This window comes from Homo sapiens, chromosome 2 (assembly GCF_000001405.40).
Source record: "Homo sapiens chromosome 2, GRCh38.p14 Primary Assembly".
NCBI classification, from domain to species: domain Eukaryota; kingdom Metazoa; phylum Chordata; class Mammalia; order Primates; family Hominidae; genus Homo; species Homo sapiens.
In genome coordinates this window covers 61,792,673-61,809,757 of record NC_000002.12, presented here as the reverse complement: position 1 = coordinate 61,809,757, position 17,085 = coordinate 61,792,673, and the positions used below count along the sequence as shown (strand labels likewise).

Here is a 17,085-nt window from a genome sequence, read left to right as displayed (position 1 = left end):
CTCAGGTGCTAGGCCAGATTCAAAGGGTGAAGAGACAAATTCCACTTCTTGGTGGCAGGGAAGTCAAAGTCACATTGCAAAGGAAATGTCATACAAGAAGGAAAGAATGCTAAGGCCATCTTTGCAAACAACCTACCCATCTCCCCCAACCCCCAAATTCCCTACGGATCTCCTTGTCTCAGAGTCTGCCTTTGGGGGAATCCAAACTAAGCTGGGGTGGGTAGGAATCAAAGCTCTTCCATAGACATGCTAACGGAGATGCTTCCTGGAGGAACCCAAGTGGAGACTTTGAACTGGCAGTTGGATTTATGAGTCTGGAATTCAGAAGGGAGGTCTGGACTGGAGATACTCAATTTGGGAGTCATTGAAATATATGTAAACAAAGAGAGTCCTAGTTTGGACAAGAGCATATAAGGAATGTGTGTAGAAAGAAGAGGTCAGAAGGCTGAGCCCCAGGCCACTGCAGTGTTGACGGGCCAGGGAGAGCAAGAGGGGCCAGCAAAGGAGGCTGAGAAGAAGCAGCAGGTAAGGACACCAGCAGTGGTGTCCGGGGGCCAAGGAGAGAGTGTTCCAAGAAAAGCACTAGGCGGGGCGCGGTGGCTCATGCCTGTAATCCCAGCACTTTGGGAGGCTGAGGTGGGTGGATCACCTGAGGTCAGGAATTTGAGACCAGCCTGGCCAACATGGCAAAACCTCGTCTCTACTAAAAATACAAAAATTAGTTGTGTGTGGTGGCAGGTGCCTGCAATCCCAGCTACTCTGGAGGCTGAGGCAGGACAGTCGCTTGAACCTGGGAGGGGGAGGTTGCAGTGAGCCGAGATCACACCACTGCACTCCAGCCTGGTGACAGAGCGAGATTCTGTCTCAAAAAAAAAAGTCAACATTACAGTGTTTGTTTACAATTAACTAGTGATTGGGTCTTTCTGGTCTTCTCCACTCCCCACTCCCTCCCAAATCTTGCCTCGCTATTTGTGCCTCATTTTATGTTACCCAGAATGCTTTGATTCCTCCCCTTCCCCAAAGAGTAGCAATTTACCTTTTCTCCTCCAAGCCTTCCTAAACTTATTCTTGTCAGGCATTCCAGAATGTAGTAATGCTATAATTTCCTGAATACTGTATTCTATGCCTAAAAGAAAAAGAGCCAACTGAAAACTCTGGATTCAGCTCAAAATTAAAGAATTTTTCCGGCCAGGCACGGTGGCTCATGCCTGTAATCCCAGCACTTTGGGAGGCCAAGGAGGGTGGATCACAAGGCCAGGAGATCGAGACTATCCTGGCCAACATGGTGAAACCCAGTTTCTACTAAAAATACAAAGAATTAGCTAGGCATGGTGGCAGGCGCCTGTAGCCCCAGCTACTTGGGAGGCAGATGCAGCGGAATTGCTTGAACCCAGGAGGCAGAGGTTGCAGTGAGCTGAGATCGTGCCACTGCACTCCAGACTGGGCGACAGAGCAAGACTCCATCTCAAAAAAAAAAAAAAAATAATAATAATAATCTTTCCCACTGTCTGTAAGCAGTTACTATGAAACTTTAACTATATTTCCTGTTAATAACTGAAACCTCAAAATACTTCTTTTGAAAAGATAAGGCAATTTCCTATCTCTGCCCCCTCAGAGATTGGCAGACAGCAGGTGGCCATGTCACTGCCTCACGCCATCACTGAGCTCCCTGCCATCACCTCCCAAATAAATCCTTGTACCCAATCCTGGTCTCAGGGTCAGCTTTTGGGGGACCCCAGACCAGGACACTGTTCTCTGGAATACCCAAATGTCTAGCAGCACTGGGCCCACACTTTGTGTGGCAAAAAATGGAGTCTGGCTGGACACAGTGGCTCACATCTGGAATCCCAAAACTTTGGGAGGCCAAGGCAGGAGGTTTATTTGAGGCCTGGAGTTTGAGACCAGCCTGGACAACATAGTGAGACCATGTCTCTACCAAAAATACAAAAATTAGCCAGGTGTGGTGCTGTGTGCCTGTAGTCCCAGCTACTCAGGAGGCTGAGGTGGGAGGAATGCTTGAGCCCTGGAGGTGGAGGTTGCAGTGAGCCATGATTCACGCCACTGCACTCCAGCCTGGGTGACAGGGCAAGACCTTGTCTCAACAAAAAAAAAAAAAAAAAAAAATCTGGAGTCCAGAGGCAGCTAACCCTTTCAGGGTCCCAAAATAGGCTCTGCAAAGTCCCCCACTTTGCAGAGCCTATTTTGGGATTGGCCCAGCAAGCATCTGAGCTTGTAATCCTGCACATGTAAGATACAGGCAAGAAAATGTTCTTTTTTACATTTTCAAGTAGTGAGAGAAGAGACATACAACAAACAGACATATTTTTACAATTTCAAAAGCATAGCACAATCTACGCAATGCTTATAATGGAAAAAACTAAATAAATACTTAAACAAAAAATTCCCTTCCTAAGTGCCTTTTATTTTGTGATTTATTCTTTTTCTAGGTTTTTTTTTTTCTGCCTCTTTATTTGCTCAAGTTGGGATTTCCAGAGTTTCATTTCAAGAACTAACTTGCTTTGCTTCATTTCCGTTGTCTGGGCTTTTGTTACCTGATGAGTTTGAGTGCTTTCAGGACATCTGATGCTTCAACTTCAATTAGCAAGCCCTCCTGAAAGAAAGAACACACCTTTGTCTCTTCTAAGTTAATTCTACAACCTTGCAAAATTTGATTTCCACACAAGAATGTGAAAATCATCTTAGATAATTTAGGCAGCAATTTATCTGACAAATGTGAGCTCAATTCTTTCAAATAAAAAGATGTTGAGCTGGGTGTGGTGGCTCACGCCTGTAATCCCAGCACTTTGGGAGGCTGAGGCAGGTGGATCATGAGGTCAGGAGATCAAGACCATCATGACTAACACGGTGAAACCCCGTCTCTACTAAAAATAGAAAAAATTAGCTGGGCATGGTGGCAGGTGCCTGTAGTCCCAGCTACTCGGGAGGCTGAGGCAGGAGAATGGTGTGAACCCCGGAGGCGGAGCTTGCAGTGAGCCGAGATGGCGCCACTGCACTCCAGCCTGGGCGACAGAGCCAGACTCTGTCTCAAAAAAAAAAAAAAAAAAAAAAAAAAAAAAGACGTGGAAAGCAAAATTGCTTTCATGTGAAAAAATTAGAGCTTACATGTGATTTCAACTTTTTAATATCAATTACTCATTAAATCTTTCCCTAGGTTTATCTCTAAATAAGAAAGTTTCATCTGTGTGAAAACTAAAAACTGAGAATCAGTATTAAAATTTCATGACCATTAATGCTTTATCTGATTTTAAAACATGATTAATTTTCCCTTCTCTAGGTGTTTAAAATGAATATCTCACAATGACAACGACAGAATAATAGGGGGCAAGGGCAATCACTGCCACATCTGAAGGCGGTTCATTGTAAAGTAATGCCACACTCTTAACCTGGGACTAAAAAATAATGTGAGTTTTTAAACAGAACTTCAACATGCATGTTTTTAAGTAGCGATGGCGCCCTCAAAAGAATGGTTCTAACCATCCTTCCAGATTGCAATTTCTTTCTTTCTTTTTTTTTGAGACGGATCACGGATCTTGCTCTGTCGCCCAGGCTTGAGTGCAGTAGTGCAGTCTCGGCTCACTGCATCCTCCACCTCCTAGATTCAAGCGATTCTCCTGCCTCAGCCTCCTGAATAGCTGGAATTACAGGCATGTGCCACCACACCCGGCTAATTTTTGTATTTTTAGTAGTGATGGAGTTTTGCCATGTTGCCCAGACTGGTCTTGAATTCCTGAGCTAAAATGATCATCCTGCCTTGGCTTCCCAAAGTGCTGGATTTACAGGTGTTAGCCACCACATCTGGCTGAGAACAGGTTAATTTTTAAAAAGTAACATAAGTAATTTGATAACAAGCCTAGTGAATAAGATATGTAACCAAACTAATAGTATTGGCTTAGGAAAAAAAAAACCTAGCAATAAAAGAATGAGATTGGTGTTTTTGCATTGCCCAGAACCTGCCTCTGGGTAAGTCTGTTTTGGGCACTGCAACAGATCATTGGCAGTTGCAGCTCCATGAGGGCAGGGACCTGTGCCTGGTACAGGACTGAACTGGGGTCTGCACACCTGGCTCGGTAAAGCCAAACATTCACTCTGCAGTTTGCAATAGGAGGAAGAACGGTATTTATCTTTGCAGGGCACCAAGCAAGAAGAATCAGGCACCTCATACTTAAGACCTGACCTCCCCAATGGCTTGCAAGTAAGGGTTTTTATATTTATTTAGTTTTTGAGATGGAGTCTTGGTCTGCTGCCCAGGCTGGAGTGCAGTGGCATGATCTTGGCTCACTGCAATCTCCGTCTCCCAGGTTCAAGCAATTCTCCTTCCTCAGCCTCCCGAGTAGCTGGGATTACAGGCTCCCGCCACCAAGCCCGGCTAAATTTTGTATTTTTAGTAGACACGGGGTTTTGCCATGTTGGCCAGGCTCGTCTCGAACTCCTGACCTCAGGTGATACATCCACCTTGGCAAGAGTTTTTAAAGGCAGAGGCAGAGGTTACAGGCAAAGTCATAAATCAATACATGGAGGCTATATGCTGGTTTGACCTAAAAAGGCGGGACATCTCAAAGTGGGTGGTGGGGCATGGGGCAGGTTACAGGTCAGAGATTCAAAGATTTTCTGATTTGCAATTGGTTAAGATGGAAAAGGTTTGTCTAAAAATTTGGGGTCAGGAGAAAAGAATGTTATCTCTGGCTCATGGGCGTGACTTCCTCCAGGCCCCCCAGAAAGAACTTCAGAAAAAAAAAATGGCAGTCAGAGTTGAGTCCTCAGTTCCCCCTAACCTGAGGTCTAGGTGCCAGTGGATTCATTTGCTGGGCATCCATGTTTCTGAAAAACAACTCAGGGATCTGTTAGGAGGTTATCTTTAGTTTCTCTCGCTCCCTCCCTCCCTCCCTTCTTCCTTGCTTCCTTCTTTCTTTCTCTTTCTCTTTCTTTCTTTCTTTCTTTCTTTCTTTCTTTCTTTCTTTCTTTCTTTCTCTTTCTTTTTCTTTCTTTCTTTTCCTTTCTTTCTTTCCTTCTTTCTTTCTTTCTCTTTCTCTCTCTCTCTCTTTCTTCTCTCTTTCAGCAGAGTCTCACTCTTTCGCCCAGGCTGGAGTGCAGTGTTGCAATGTTGGCTCACTGCAATCTCCACCTCCCAGGTTCAGACAATTCTCCTGCCTCAGCCTCCCATGTAGTTGGGATTACAGGTGCACACCAGCACGCTCGGCTAAATTTTGTATTTTTAGTAGAGACGGGGTTTCACCGTGTTGACCAGGCTGGTCTCAAACTCCTGACCTCAGGTGATCCACCCACCGTGACCTCCCAACATGCTGGTGTCAGAGGGGTGTGAAACCAGAGCAACTCCATCTTGAAAAGGAGCTGGGAGAAATTAGGCTGAGACCTACTGGGCTGTATTCCCAGACGGTTAAGGCATTCTCTAAGTCACAGGATGAGATACAAGGTCAGCACAAGATACACAGGTCATAAAGACCTTGCTGATAAAACAGGTTGCAGTAAAGAAGTCGGCTAAAACCCACCAAAACCAAGATGGCCACGAGAGTAACCTCTGGCCGTCCTCACTGCTACACTCCCACCAGTGCCATGACAGTTTACAAATGCCATGGCAACGTCAGGAAGTTACCCTATATGGTCTAAAATGGGGAGGCATGAATAATCCACCCCTTGTTTAGAATATTATCAAGAAATAACCATTAAAATGGGCAACCAGCAGCCGTTGGAGCTCCTCTGTCTATGGAGTAGCCGTTCTTTTATTCCTTTACTTTCCTAATAAACTTGCTTTTGCTTTGCACTGTAGACTTGCCCTGAATTCTTTCTTGGGCAAGATCTAAGAACACTCTCTTGGGGTCTGGATGGGAACCCCTTTCCTGTAACATTGAGATTACAGGCATGAGCCACCACGCCCAGCCTCTTTTTATTTATTTATTTATTTTTTCGAGACAGAGTCTTTCTCTGTGCCCAGGCTGGAGTACAATGGTGCGATCTCAGCTCACTGCAACCTCCATGTCCCGAGTTCACACCATTCTCCTGCCTCAGCTTCCTGAGAAGTTGGAATTACAGGCAAGTGTCACCATGCCCAGCTAATTTTTATATTTTTAGTAGAGGTGGGGTTTCACCATGTTGGCCAGGCTGATCTTGAACTCCTGACCTTGTGATCCACCTGCCTTGGCCTCCCAAAGTGCTGGGATTACAGGCGTAAGCCACTGCGCCCGGCCTTATTAATCTTATTGTGAAAAATCCTCAATGGCCGCAGATAACATCCTTGCAATATCTTTACTCCTTCGGCTTTTTGCCAGCACCAACACTGGCCTTTGCAGTACCCCTGACTTTCTCCATTCTGTTCTTGCATTCCTTTTGTTGCTTTCTTGAGGTCTTTTTCTTCTCATACAGGCCATGTCTTGCAAGTCTATGTTTGGTATGTTTGGGTTCATTTTACTTTACATAATCCAAGGAATCATAAATCATGCCAAAGCCACCACCAGCATGAGTTCTGAATGCAAATACAAAGATGACATCCAGTGTGGTCTTATACATTTTGGCTAGTTTTTTCTGAATTTCTGTCTTAGGCACTGTTGCCTTCCCGGGATGAAGGACATCAATGAGCATCTGTTTCCTCTGAAGTAGTCATGAACTTTCTAGTTAGGATAGTTACTGTGTCCTATCCTATGTGTTAGGATAGTTCATGATGGTGGCCTACCCTCAGACAGCCAGGGAGGAGAAGAGTTATCTTTAGTTTCTATAGAGAACAAAACATCCCAGAATTCGAACTTTCTTGGCTATTGTTTTAAGCTACTATTACCTTCTTGCTAATCAAGTTGCTGGTTTACTTCTCAGGGCTAACTAGGTGCCTGGAATTTCCCCTGCAATAACTAAAACTTTTCCTTTATTTCCATGCTTTGGAGAAAGTGCATGGCAGGCCCCTAAGAGGAGTCCCTGCTACCTCTTACGACCATCTTGCGAATTACTGTACCCGTAGCAACTATAGTGCCTGGTGCATAGGAGGATGACTGAATGAATACATGCAGAAATTCACAACGTGACTAATTCAAAGTAACTGACACTCATTTGAATATACACATTTGAAACAGTTTTTAAAAGAAAATAGCTTCCATAATTTGCAAATACAACAATAACAGTTTATAGGAAATGTCCCAAGCTAGTCCACTTACTTCTATTTCTTTTTGACACAATACCATCTTCTGAATATATTCCATTTTGCAAAATAAAAAAGCACTTTACGGTGATTATGTTAAATAGAGCCAAGAGCATCATCCCTGTTTTAATAGATTAGAATGTGGGGATGTGGAAGAGATGAGTAATTTTTTCAACGTTAGTATTATTAATTAGAATCTCAACTTATAATAACTAACACCCATTTCTGCCCAAATCACTGGAGGGAGGGCGGATTACCTATGGTGCTGGAGGTGAGATCAGCTTCTCCTAGGTATGGGATGGGGAGATACTTGAGCAAGATTGGGGTGCTCCAGAGAAGGAACAAAGTGGGAGCACATCCTGGGTAGGTCTTATGTCCCCTGCGGTCACCAACTAATAAATGGAAGAATTGACACTCACACTTAGCTCTCCTGAAGTCAAATGCAGTACTTTTGTTTTTAGGGAATGTGCTATAACAAACAGTTCATTTTAAAGAGAACTTTTAGGGATTAATAAGTTTTACCCAGAGAATAGATCAGGAATTTTATTCTAATTGAAAATTAAATCTGATTTATGTATCTCATGTGTTTTGATTCAGTGTAATACATTTTACAAATGAAGAGATGTGGGAGAATGCAAATTATAGAAGTTTGTGTTTGTTTTGTTTTTTAAAGTTGTATTACATTCCTAGAGTTCTTCTAGCAGCATTATCCAAATCCCTTATTAACATTATTCAAGCCGGGCACGGTGGCTCACGTCTGTAATCCCAGCACTTTGGGAGGCTGAGGCAGGCGGATCACCTGAGGTCAGGAGTTTGAGACCAGCCTGGCCAACATGGTGAAACCCCACCTCTACTAAAAATACAAAAATTAGCCAGGCGTGGTGGCACGTGTCTATAATCCCAGCTGCTCAGGAGGCTAAGGCAGGACAATCGCTTGAACACAAGAGGTTGCAGTGAGCCGAGATCGTGCGATTGCACTCCAGCCTGGGTGACAAGAGCGAAACTCTATCTCAAAAAAAAAAAAAAACCAAAAAAACCAAAAAACATTATTCAAAAGCATCTGCAGAACTTAATCCAGTAATTCTATTTTTTTTTTTTTGAGACGGAGCCTCTCCCTGTCGCTCAGGCTGGACTACAGTGGCATGATTTTGGCTCACTGCAACCTCTGCCTCTTGGATTCAAGTGATTCTACTGCCTCAGCCTTCCAAGTAGCTGGGATTACAGGCGCCTGCTACCACACCCAGCTAATTTTTTGCATTTTTAGTAGAGACCGGGTTTCACTATGTTGGCCAGGCTGGTCTCAGACTCCTGACCTCATGATCCGCCCGCCTCAGCCTCCCAAAGTGCTGGGATTACAGGCATGAACCACTGCGCCTGGCCAATCCAGTAATTTTTAAAGTGGTGTTCTTTAAGATTTCCCTGCAGAGGAAAATTGTTTCCCGTGAGCATCAACCCTAAGGCCTCCTAAGAAATTTCTGAGTTCAATAAATAGCAGATTTATGGCTGAGTGCGGTGGCTCACACCTGTAATCCCAGCACTTTGGGAGGCTGAGACAGGCAGTTCATTTGAGGTCAGGAGTTCAAGACCAGCCTGGCCAACATGGTGAAACCTCGTCTCCACAAAAATTAGCTGGGTGTGGTGGTGCACGCTTGTAATCCCAGCTACTTGGGAGGCTGAGGCAGGAGAATCACTTGAACCAGGGAGATACAGTGTGCAGTGAGCTGAGATTGCGCCACTGCACTCCCATCCTGGTGACAGAGTGAGACTTCATTTCAAAAAAATAAATAAATATCAGATTTATAATGAGCATCTTTAAGACACATTTTATGCCAATGTGGCAGACACTGCCAGCTGCTTGCCAATAGCCATTTTCCCATTGTATTTACTCACAGAATCCAATTTTATTCGGGCACAGTCTACCCACTTAAAATATTGAATGCCCAGCCTCTCTTGTAGTTGGGGTTACTTTATGACATGATCTGGCCAACTCTCAGCTCTCAAACAGTGGCTTGTTGGTGCTTCCAGGAACATGCCCATTGTCCTTCCCTTCTTCCTCCTGCCTGACTCATGGACACGATGCTTGATGGTCAAGGAGCTGTCTTGCCACCATGAAGATGAAAGCAACAATCTAACGACGGTACCGGGAGCTAGGAGGAACCTGGGTCCCTAGAGCAGCTGCAGCAGCCTGGCCTGCCCACCTTTGAATCCTGACCATGTGGGAAAACAAATCCCTGTTTGGTAAAGACATGGTAATTGGGTCTCTGTTTACATGCATGCAGACGCAATGCTGACTGATACATTCAGTATTTCCATTTTTGTGCCTTTTGTACAGCTCCAATAAAACCAAGTAACAAGATCATTGCTACACAAAATCTTCTCCTGACTAACCTCCTGAACACGGTTCTTTCTTCTATGACATATGTTTCTGTAATAATAGGTCACATGTAAATTGGTAACTAGGGCACTAAGGACAGCATAAAATGGAAGTCACTTTGGTTTCTATGCTATTTTTCATTGCACATTAATATTTTGAAGCAATTTATGAAGATCTTAAAGGAAAAAAATGAATCCTGAAGAAATACTTTCCTTTTGTGCAAGTAGTGGCAAAATAGTGACTTTAAGGACCACGAGTTTTCCCCCAAAGTGAAATTATCTGGTAAAAGTGCAGCTGGAGAATTTACGTGTACATATCATTCATTTAATTCCAGAAGCCTTTTTTTCCCCAGTGAAGATGATCTCTAATTCCCTCACGTGTCTACATCTCAGAGGAGGCAGTGTGAGCCCAACGGTTTGATGCTGCAAAGGCTGACTGACAATGAAGGTGGGTGCACGTGCAAGCACAGATAGAATGGGCTCATATATATATATATATATATATATATATATATATATATATATATTTTTCTTTTTATCAGCATTATGATTGTTTTTGTTAGTGCTCTGGTTACAACATTGCATTAGGATTTGAGCAGTTTGCTACAGACCTGTTTCCCTGAAGTCCAGTTGATTTTATTTTATTTTATTTTATTTTACGAGACAGAGTTTCACTCTCTCACCCAGGCTGGAGCGCAGTAGCATGATCTCGGCTCACTGCAACCTCTGCCTCCCAGGTTCAAGCAATTCTCGGGTCTCAGCCTCCCCAGTAGCTGGGATTACAGGCATGTGCCACCACGCCCAGCTAACGTTTGTATTTTTAGTAGAGACAAGGTTTCACCATATTGGCCAGGCTGGTCTTGAACTCCTGACCTCCTGACAGGGTTACATCATATTGCCCAAGGCTGGTCTTGAATTCCTGGGCTCAAGCCATTTACCTGCCTTGGCCTCCCAAAGTGCTGACGTTGCAGGCATGAGCCACCGCACCCAGCTGAGAATTCATTCTTTTTGCCTCTTCTGGCTTCTGATGGCTGCTGGCATTCCTTGGCTTGTGGAAGTATCACTCCAATATTCGCTTTTGTTTTCACATTACCTCTTCCATGTCTGTCTCAAATCTCCCTCTGCCTATCTCTTACAAAGATGCATGTGATGGCATTTAGGACCCACCTGGATAATCCAGGATAATCTCCCCATCTAGAAAGAAATCTGAAAAAAAAAAAAAAAAAAAATCACATCTTCAAAGAGCCTTTTCCAAATAAGGTAACATTTTCAGGTTCCAAAGATATCAGGGATTAGGACCTGCTATCTTAGGGGATCATTGTTCAGCCCACTACACTAATGTTTTTGTAGCTGGAGGAAAATTCCTACCAGGAGAATACCAGGAGGTATCTTTTGCTTTCTTCTTTTGTCCTTTTCTGTCCTTGGAAAACATGTTTATTTCTGGAAAACTAAGAAAGATGATGTCTTAGTTTGTTCAGAATGCTGTAACAAAAATACCATAGACTGAGTGGCTTCAACAACAGATTTATTTCTCATAGTTCTGGAGGATGGGGAGTCTAAGAGCAAGGCTCTAGCAAAGTCGGTGTCTGAGGGTCCACTTCCTGGTTCAGACACAGCCATCTTCTTGCTGTATTCTTGCATAGCAGAAGGAGGGCCAGAGAGCTCTCTGGGGTCCCCTTTTGTAAGGACATTAATCCCATTCATGAAGGCTCCACCCTCATGACCTTAATTCCTTCCAAAGGTCCCATCTCCTGATACACACTAGGGGTTAGAATTTCAACATTTCAACATATAAATTTGGTTGGGGGTGAGGAGAGCACAAACATCAGTCTATTGCAGGTGATGACTGTTTTCTTATAAAACAATAAGAATTATATTTGCCAAAGAATCAGTGTGATAGTATTTGTGACTCATTCATAAAAATGTTTGATTGTCTTCCATCAAGAAACTCCTACCAAGTTAAGTTAATGAGCAGTGGAGGTGGCAAAGCAATACTTGAGAACTTTTATATGCTGTGTCATTAGAACCCATCATGATTTGCAGGCAGAATATAAAATCTTTGGCGTTCACTACTTAGAGTCATTATCACCACATCACAAAACCAGGCTGTGACCTCAGGATCCTTGCCAAATGCCACTGAACACAGGGGTGTCTTGCTTCACAGGGAGAATTGGAGACTTAGCAGGCTTTGATGTGTTTGAGAGCCCCTAGAATGAAGGGACAAACAACCCCTGTTAACAATAAGATCATTTTGGCACAATTAAGTCTTTCTGAAATCTGGTTTGGAGGTCCAGAATTTAAACTTGCCCTGCTTTTAGACTCCTTAAAAAAAAAAAAAAAAAGTGTTCTACAACTTTATTCAAATAAAGTTTTCCTTAATAGGAAAGAATATTGTATTAGTCCATTCTCATGCTGCTATAAGGGACTGCCCAAGACTGGGTAATTACAAAAGGAAAGAAGTTTAATTGACTCACACTTCCGCATGGCTGGGGAGGCCTCAGGAAACTTACCATCATGGTGGAAGGGGAAGCAAATACATCCTTCTTCACATGGCAGCAGGAAAGAGCAGTGCTGAGCAAATTGGGAAAAGCCCCTTATAAAACCATCAGATCTCATGAGAACTCACTCACTATCACAAGAACAGCAGCATGGACTAACCACCCCCGTGATTCAATTATCTCCCACTGGGTCCCTCCCATCACACGTGGGGATTATGGGAACTACAATTCAAGATGAGATTTCGGTGGGGACACAGCCAAACCATATCAAATATTATGGATTAATTAACTATGGCCAAATTTAATCAGTGCAAAGTCACACTTATTTTTCTTTCTTTCTTTCTTTCTTTTTTTTTGAGACGGAGTCTGGCTCTGTCGCCCAGGCTGGAGTGCAGTGGCGCGATCTCGGCTCACTGCAAGCTCCGCCTCCCGGGTTCATGCCATTCTCCTGCCTCAGCCTCCCAAGTAGCTGGGACTGCAGGCGCCCGCCACCATGCCTGGCTAACTTTTTTTGTATTTTTAGTAGAGACGGGGTTTCACCGTGTTAGCCAGGATGGTCTCGATCTCGTGACTTCGTGATCCCCCTGCGTCGGCCTCGCAAAGTGCTGGGATTACAGGCGTGAGCCACCGCGCCCAGCCTATTTTTCAGAATAGTACTTTAGTCTCGTAAAAACTCTCATTGTTAAGTAATATATATTCTATTGAGAAAGTCAGGTCTAAGAAAAGAAAGAGTTGAATGATTCTCATGAGTCTTATCTCATTTATAACAGATTTGGGGGAACATTTTATTTTATTTTTTATTTTTTGTAGAGACAAGATCTCGCTATTTTGCCCTGGCTGGTCTCAAATTCCTGGGCTCAAGTGATCCTCCTGCCTTGCCCTCCTAAAGTGCTGGGATTACAAGCATGAGCCACCACACCTGGCCGAAATTTTAATTTCATTTCTCACATCAGTTTTTTTTTTTTAAATCAAACCATGACAGTAAATTGGGAATTTCTGCTTTATCAGAAAACCTACTTTTAAAGAATTTGATTCTAATTTAGTCCATAAAATTGATAGCACACACATTTTTTCTTGGGAATTAAAAATGTTTCAAATATGCCACTTCACTTATTCATGCAACATGAATGGGTTATATTTTTTTTTAAATTTAATTTTAGGTTCTGGGATACATGTGCAGAACATGCAGGTTTGTTACATAGGTAAATGTGTGCCATGGTGGTTTGCGGCACCCATCAACCCATCGCCTAGGTATTAAGCCCCTCCCTCTCCCAGCGCCCCCCACACGCCCCAGTGTGTGTTGTTCCCCTCCCTGTGTCCATGTGTTCTCACTGATGAACAGGTTCCTAGTTTCTTTTTCTTTTTTTTCTTTTTTTTTTTTTTTTTTGAGACGGAGTTTTTTGCTCTTGTTGCCCAGGCTGGAATGCAATGGCGCAATCTTGGCTCACCGCAACCTCCACCTCCCAGGTTCAAGCAATTCTCCTGCCTCAGCCTCCCGAGTAGCTGGGATTACAGGCATGCACCACCACACCTGGCTAATTTTGTATTTTTTTTTTTAGTAGAGATGGGGTTTCTCCATGTTGAGGCTGGTCTCGAACTCCTGACCTCAGGTGATCCACCCGCCTCGGCCTCCCAAAGTACTGGGATTACAGGCGTGAGCTACCGCGCCCGGCCACAGGTTCCTAGTTTCTAAACACCTATTATGGACCAGGCCCACTAGACACTGGGATACAAAAGTCAACAAGACCCGGTCCTGCCCTCAGGGAGCCTGAAGTGTAAGGGGATGGAGAGAGGACCCAACTTCTCATGGGCTGTGAATGGTCCGTGGGACTGGGCTACGCTGGGCTGGGCTGTGAGAGTGAAGCAGAACCCAGCCAGTCTCAGGGAGACTAGGGGCCTCTTCCAAAAGGAAGCTGAGGCCTGAAAAAGGAAAAAAAAACCTTTTCCTCCAAAAGTGACTGCATGAGGGAAGGGGGTGTGTATGAAGGCCCAGAAGTGATAGTGCTTGAGAAAGGGAGGCCGCATGGCACAAGCACCAGGTTAAAAGAAGAGGCTGGGCCAGCCCCAGAGTGACCCCATAAACTTATTAGAGGGTTTGGACTCCATAACAATGACAGGATCCCTTCCTTCTATTCCTTTTCTTTCCCTTCCTCTTTCTTCCTTCCTTCCCTCTTTCCTCCCTTCCTCCCTCCCTCCCTCCCTCTCTCCCTCTCTCCCTCCCTCCCTCTCTTTGTTTCTTTCTCTCATCTTTCTGTCTCTCTCTCCCCCTTTCTTTCTTCTCCCTGCCCTTCCCACCTCTCTTTCACGCTCTCTGTCTCTTTCTTTCTCTTTTAGACAGGTCCTCACTCTGTCACCCAGGCTGGAGTGCAGTGGCAATCATAGCTCACTGCAGCCTCCAACTCCTGGGCTCAAGCCATCCTCCCACCTCATCCTCCCAAATAGTAGGGATTACAGGTGTGCACTACCACACCAAGCCATTGAAGGATTTTCAAGCAGGGCAAAGACATACTCAGATCTGCATTTTATAATGATCATTCTAGTTGCTGTCAAATGGCTCAGATGCTGGCAAGCCTGGAAGCAGAGACCCCTCAGGGTAGGGAGAGGCAGATCCATGGGAGAGAGTGTGGTTCCCTGAACTAGGACTCAGTTGGGAAGAAAAGAAGTGGATGGATTTGAAAAACAATTTCCCTGAGCAGGTTCCCCTACTGCAACCTCCAACTCCAGGTTCAAGTGATTCTCCTGCTTCAGCCTCCCGAGTAGCTGGGATTACAGATGCGCAGCCACCACGTAATTTTTGTGTTTTTAGTAGAGACAGGGTTTTGCCATATTGGCCAGGCTGGCCTCTTAACTCCTGACCTCGAGTGAACCACCCACTTTAGCCTCCCAAAGTGCTGGGATTACAGGCGTGAGCCACCACGGCCAGCAGCCCTAGTGATATTCTTGAAACAAACAACTTAGGTATTTAATACATCTAAATACTTTCTTGGAGCCATGAAAAATGTCAGTGGTCTGTGGTGAACGAGTTTTCAAATCTCTTGCTTATAGGCCTAATTTTATACCTATAAGAGCAGGCTTGCAAATTGCTTTCTCTAATTTTTATTCCTAGGGTCATATGACATTAGTCTAAATAAGTAAACTTCACCTGTTCACACGCTATAGAAACACAGCAAAGCTGCTCCAGGCTGGGCACCGTGGCTCACGCCTGTAATCCCAGCACTTTGGGAGGCTGAGGCAGGCGGAGTACCCCCGCCAGGAGTTCAAGACCAGCCTCGGCAACAAAGTAAGACCCTGCTTCTACAAAAAAAAAAAAAAAAATTAGCTGGGCGTGGTGGCGGGAGCCTGTAATCCCAGCTTCTTGGGAGGCTGAGGTAGGAGAATCGCTTGCACCCTGAAGGCGGAGGTTGCAGTGAGCTGAGATCGCATCACTGTACTCCAGCCTGGGCGACAGAGCGAGACTCCATCTCAAAAAACAAAACAGAACAAAACGAAACAAAAAAACAGCAGCTGTAAAAAAGGATGAATTCATGTCCTTTGCAGGGACATGGATGAAGCTGGAAACAATCATTCTCAGCAAACTAACACAAGAACAGAAAACCAAACACCACAGGTTCTCACTCATATGCAGGAGTTGAACAATAAGAACACATGGACACAGGGAGGGGAACATCACACACCGGGGCCTGTCCGGGGGTGGGGTCTAGGGGAGGGATAGCATCAGGACAAATACCTAATGTAGATGACTGGTTGATGGGTGCAGCAAACCACCATGGGACATGTATACCTATGTAACAAACCTGCAGGTTCCGCACATGTATCCCAGAACTTAAAGTATAATTAAAACACACACACACACACACACACACACACACACGCGCGCGCGCGCGCACAAACAGAAAACCAACCCTGCTCAGATCCTCACAGCAGCAGGTGTGGCCGCCGCTTCTCTTACCATTGCACTTCCCCGGCTTCTCTCCAGTAGGGGAGTCCGCCTGCTGTTTTGCGGCTCGCCGGGGTGCCCACCCCCAACAGTAAAGGGATGGGTGCAGGTCACACACACCACACTTCACACGAATGGAAAGGGCGAGGACCCGCCTCTGCCCGAGCCCACCGCACATACCATTCTTCAGCCTTCACCTGGAGCATCAGGGCGGTGCCTTGGAGGGCAGGATGATTTCGGGCTGCGGAGGCGGCGACACAGGCCTGACAAGGCGGCAGGTGTCTGGCTGCACGTCTTCTCTTCTCCAGCAGGTGGCAATGAGTTAGTGTCAGCCTCCAAAGAGGACAGAAGGCACAAATATTTACATTTTTTTTTTTTTCCTTAGACGAAGTCTCTCTCTGTCGCCCAGGCTGGAGTGCAGTGGCATGATCTCGGCTCACTGCAACCTCTGCCTCCCGGGTTCAAGCGATTCTTCTGCCTCAGCCTCCCGAGTAGCTGGGATTACAGGCACCCGCCACCACTCCCAGCTAATTTTTGTATTTTTAGTAGAGACGGGGTTTCACCATATTGGCCAGGCTGGTCTGGAACTCCTGACCTCGTTATTTTAACCGCCAACCTTAAAAATATTTAAATTTTGCTTAAACTAGAATAAAATAAAAGGTGCTAGGAGCTGCGAACAAGAAGAAGGCATCTTAAAATGCTCATAGAAATAGAATCCTAAATTTTATGACTTTTTTTTTTTTTTGAGATAGGGTCTCACTCTGTTGCCTAGGCTGGGGTGCAGTGGTAAGATAATCTCCGAGTAGCTGGGATTACAGGCGCCCTCCAGCACCCCAGCTAACTTTTTATTTATTTTTTTTTTATAGAGATGGAGGTCTCGCCATGGTGCCCAGGCTGGTCTCCGGCTCCTGAGCTCCAGTGATTCTCTCCTGCTTCGCTCTCCCAAAGTGCTGGGATTACAGGCATCAGCCATCACACTGGGACCCTTTATGGCTTTTTATATTAAAGATGATGCCACTGACCAGTGCCAGTGGTGAAACAGTAGAGTCTGAAGATGACTCTGGGCTTCCAGGATGAGGAAAGAGCTGTAACCCAGTGCCTTCCTGTTTCTTTCA

The 17,085-nt window shown here is 44.9% G+C and overlaps 1 protein-coding gene, 1 long non-coding RNA gene and 1 pseudogene across 2 annotated transcripts in view, besides 3 other annotated features; 1 reads left to right on the top strand and 2 right to left on the bottom strand.

Annotated features, from left to right (window-relative positions):
• FAM161A (FAM161 centrosomal protein A) overlaps positions 1-9,518 on the top strand; it is a 53,821-nt gene extending 44,303 nt beyond the window's left edge. Inside the window, exon 9 of the transcript XR_001738972.3 lies at positions 9,188-9,518. The gene's annotated coding sequence lies outside the window, so the exon portion shown is untranslated. The remainder of the gene's footprint in view (positions 1-9,187) is intronic.
• RPS24P7 (ribosomal protein S24 pseudogene 7) lies at positions 6,225-6,732 on the bottom strand (annotated as a pseudogene).
• LOC105374760 (uncharacterized) lies at positions 11,044-16,265 on the bottom strand. Its single transcript, XR_940139.2, has 2 exons — positions 16,151-16,265; positions 11,044-11,742 (listed from the first exon to the last, which is right to left on the bottom strand). It is a non-coding gene; the product is annotated as an uncharacterized LOC105374760 (long non-coding RNA).
• Positions 15,928-16,131: a silencer, noted in NCBI's record as "fragment chr2:62020762-62020965 (GRCh37/hg19 assembly coordinates)". NCBI's record gives its function as "represses an EF-1alpha promoter that drives an FKBP-Casp9 reporter gene in an ReSE screen in K562 erythroleukemia cells {active_cell/tissue: K562}" and the evidence as "EXISTENCE:reporter gene assay evidence [ECO:0000049][PMID:32094911]".
• Positions 15,928-16,164: a biological region, named in NCBI's record as "ReSE screen-validated silencer GRCh37_chr2:62020762-62020965".
• Positions 16,065-16,164: an enhancer, noted in NCBI's record as "active region_15837". NCBI's record gives its function as "activates an Ori minimal core promoter by ATAC-STARR-seq in GM12878 lymphoblastoid cells {active_cell/tissue: GM12878}" and the evidence as "EXISTENCE:reporter gene assay evidence [ECO:0000049][PMID:35858748]".
• Positions 16,266-17,085: the final 820 nt, after the last annotated feature.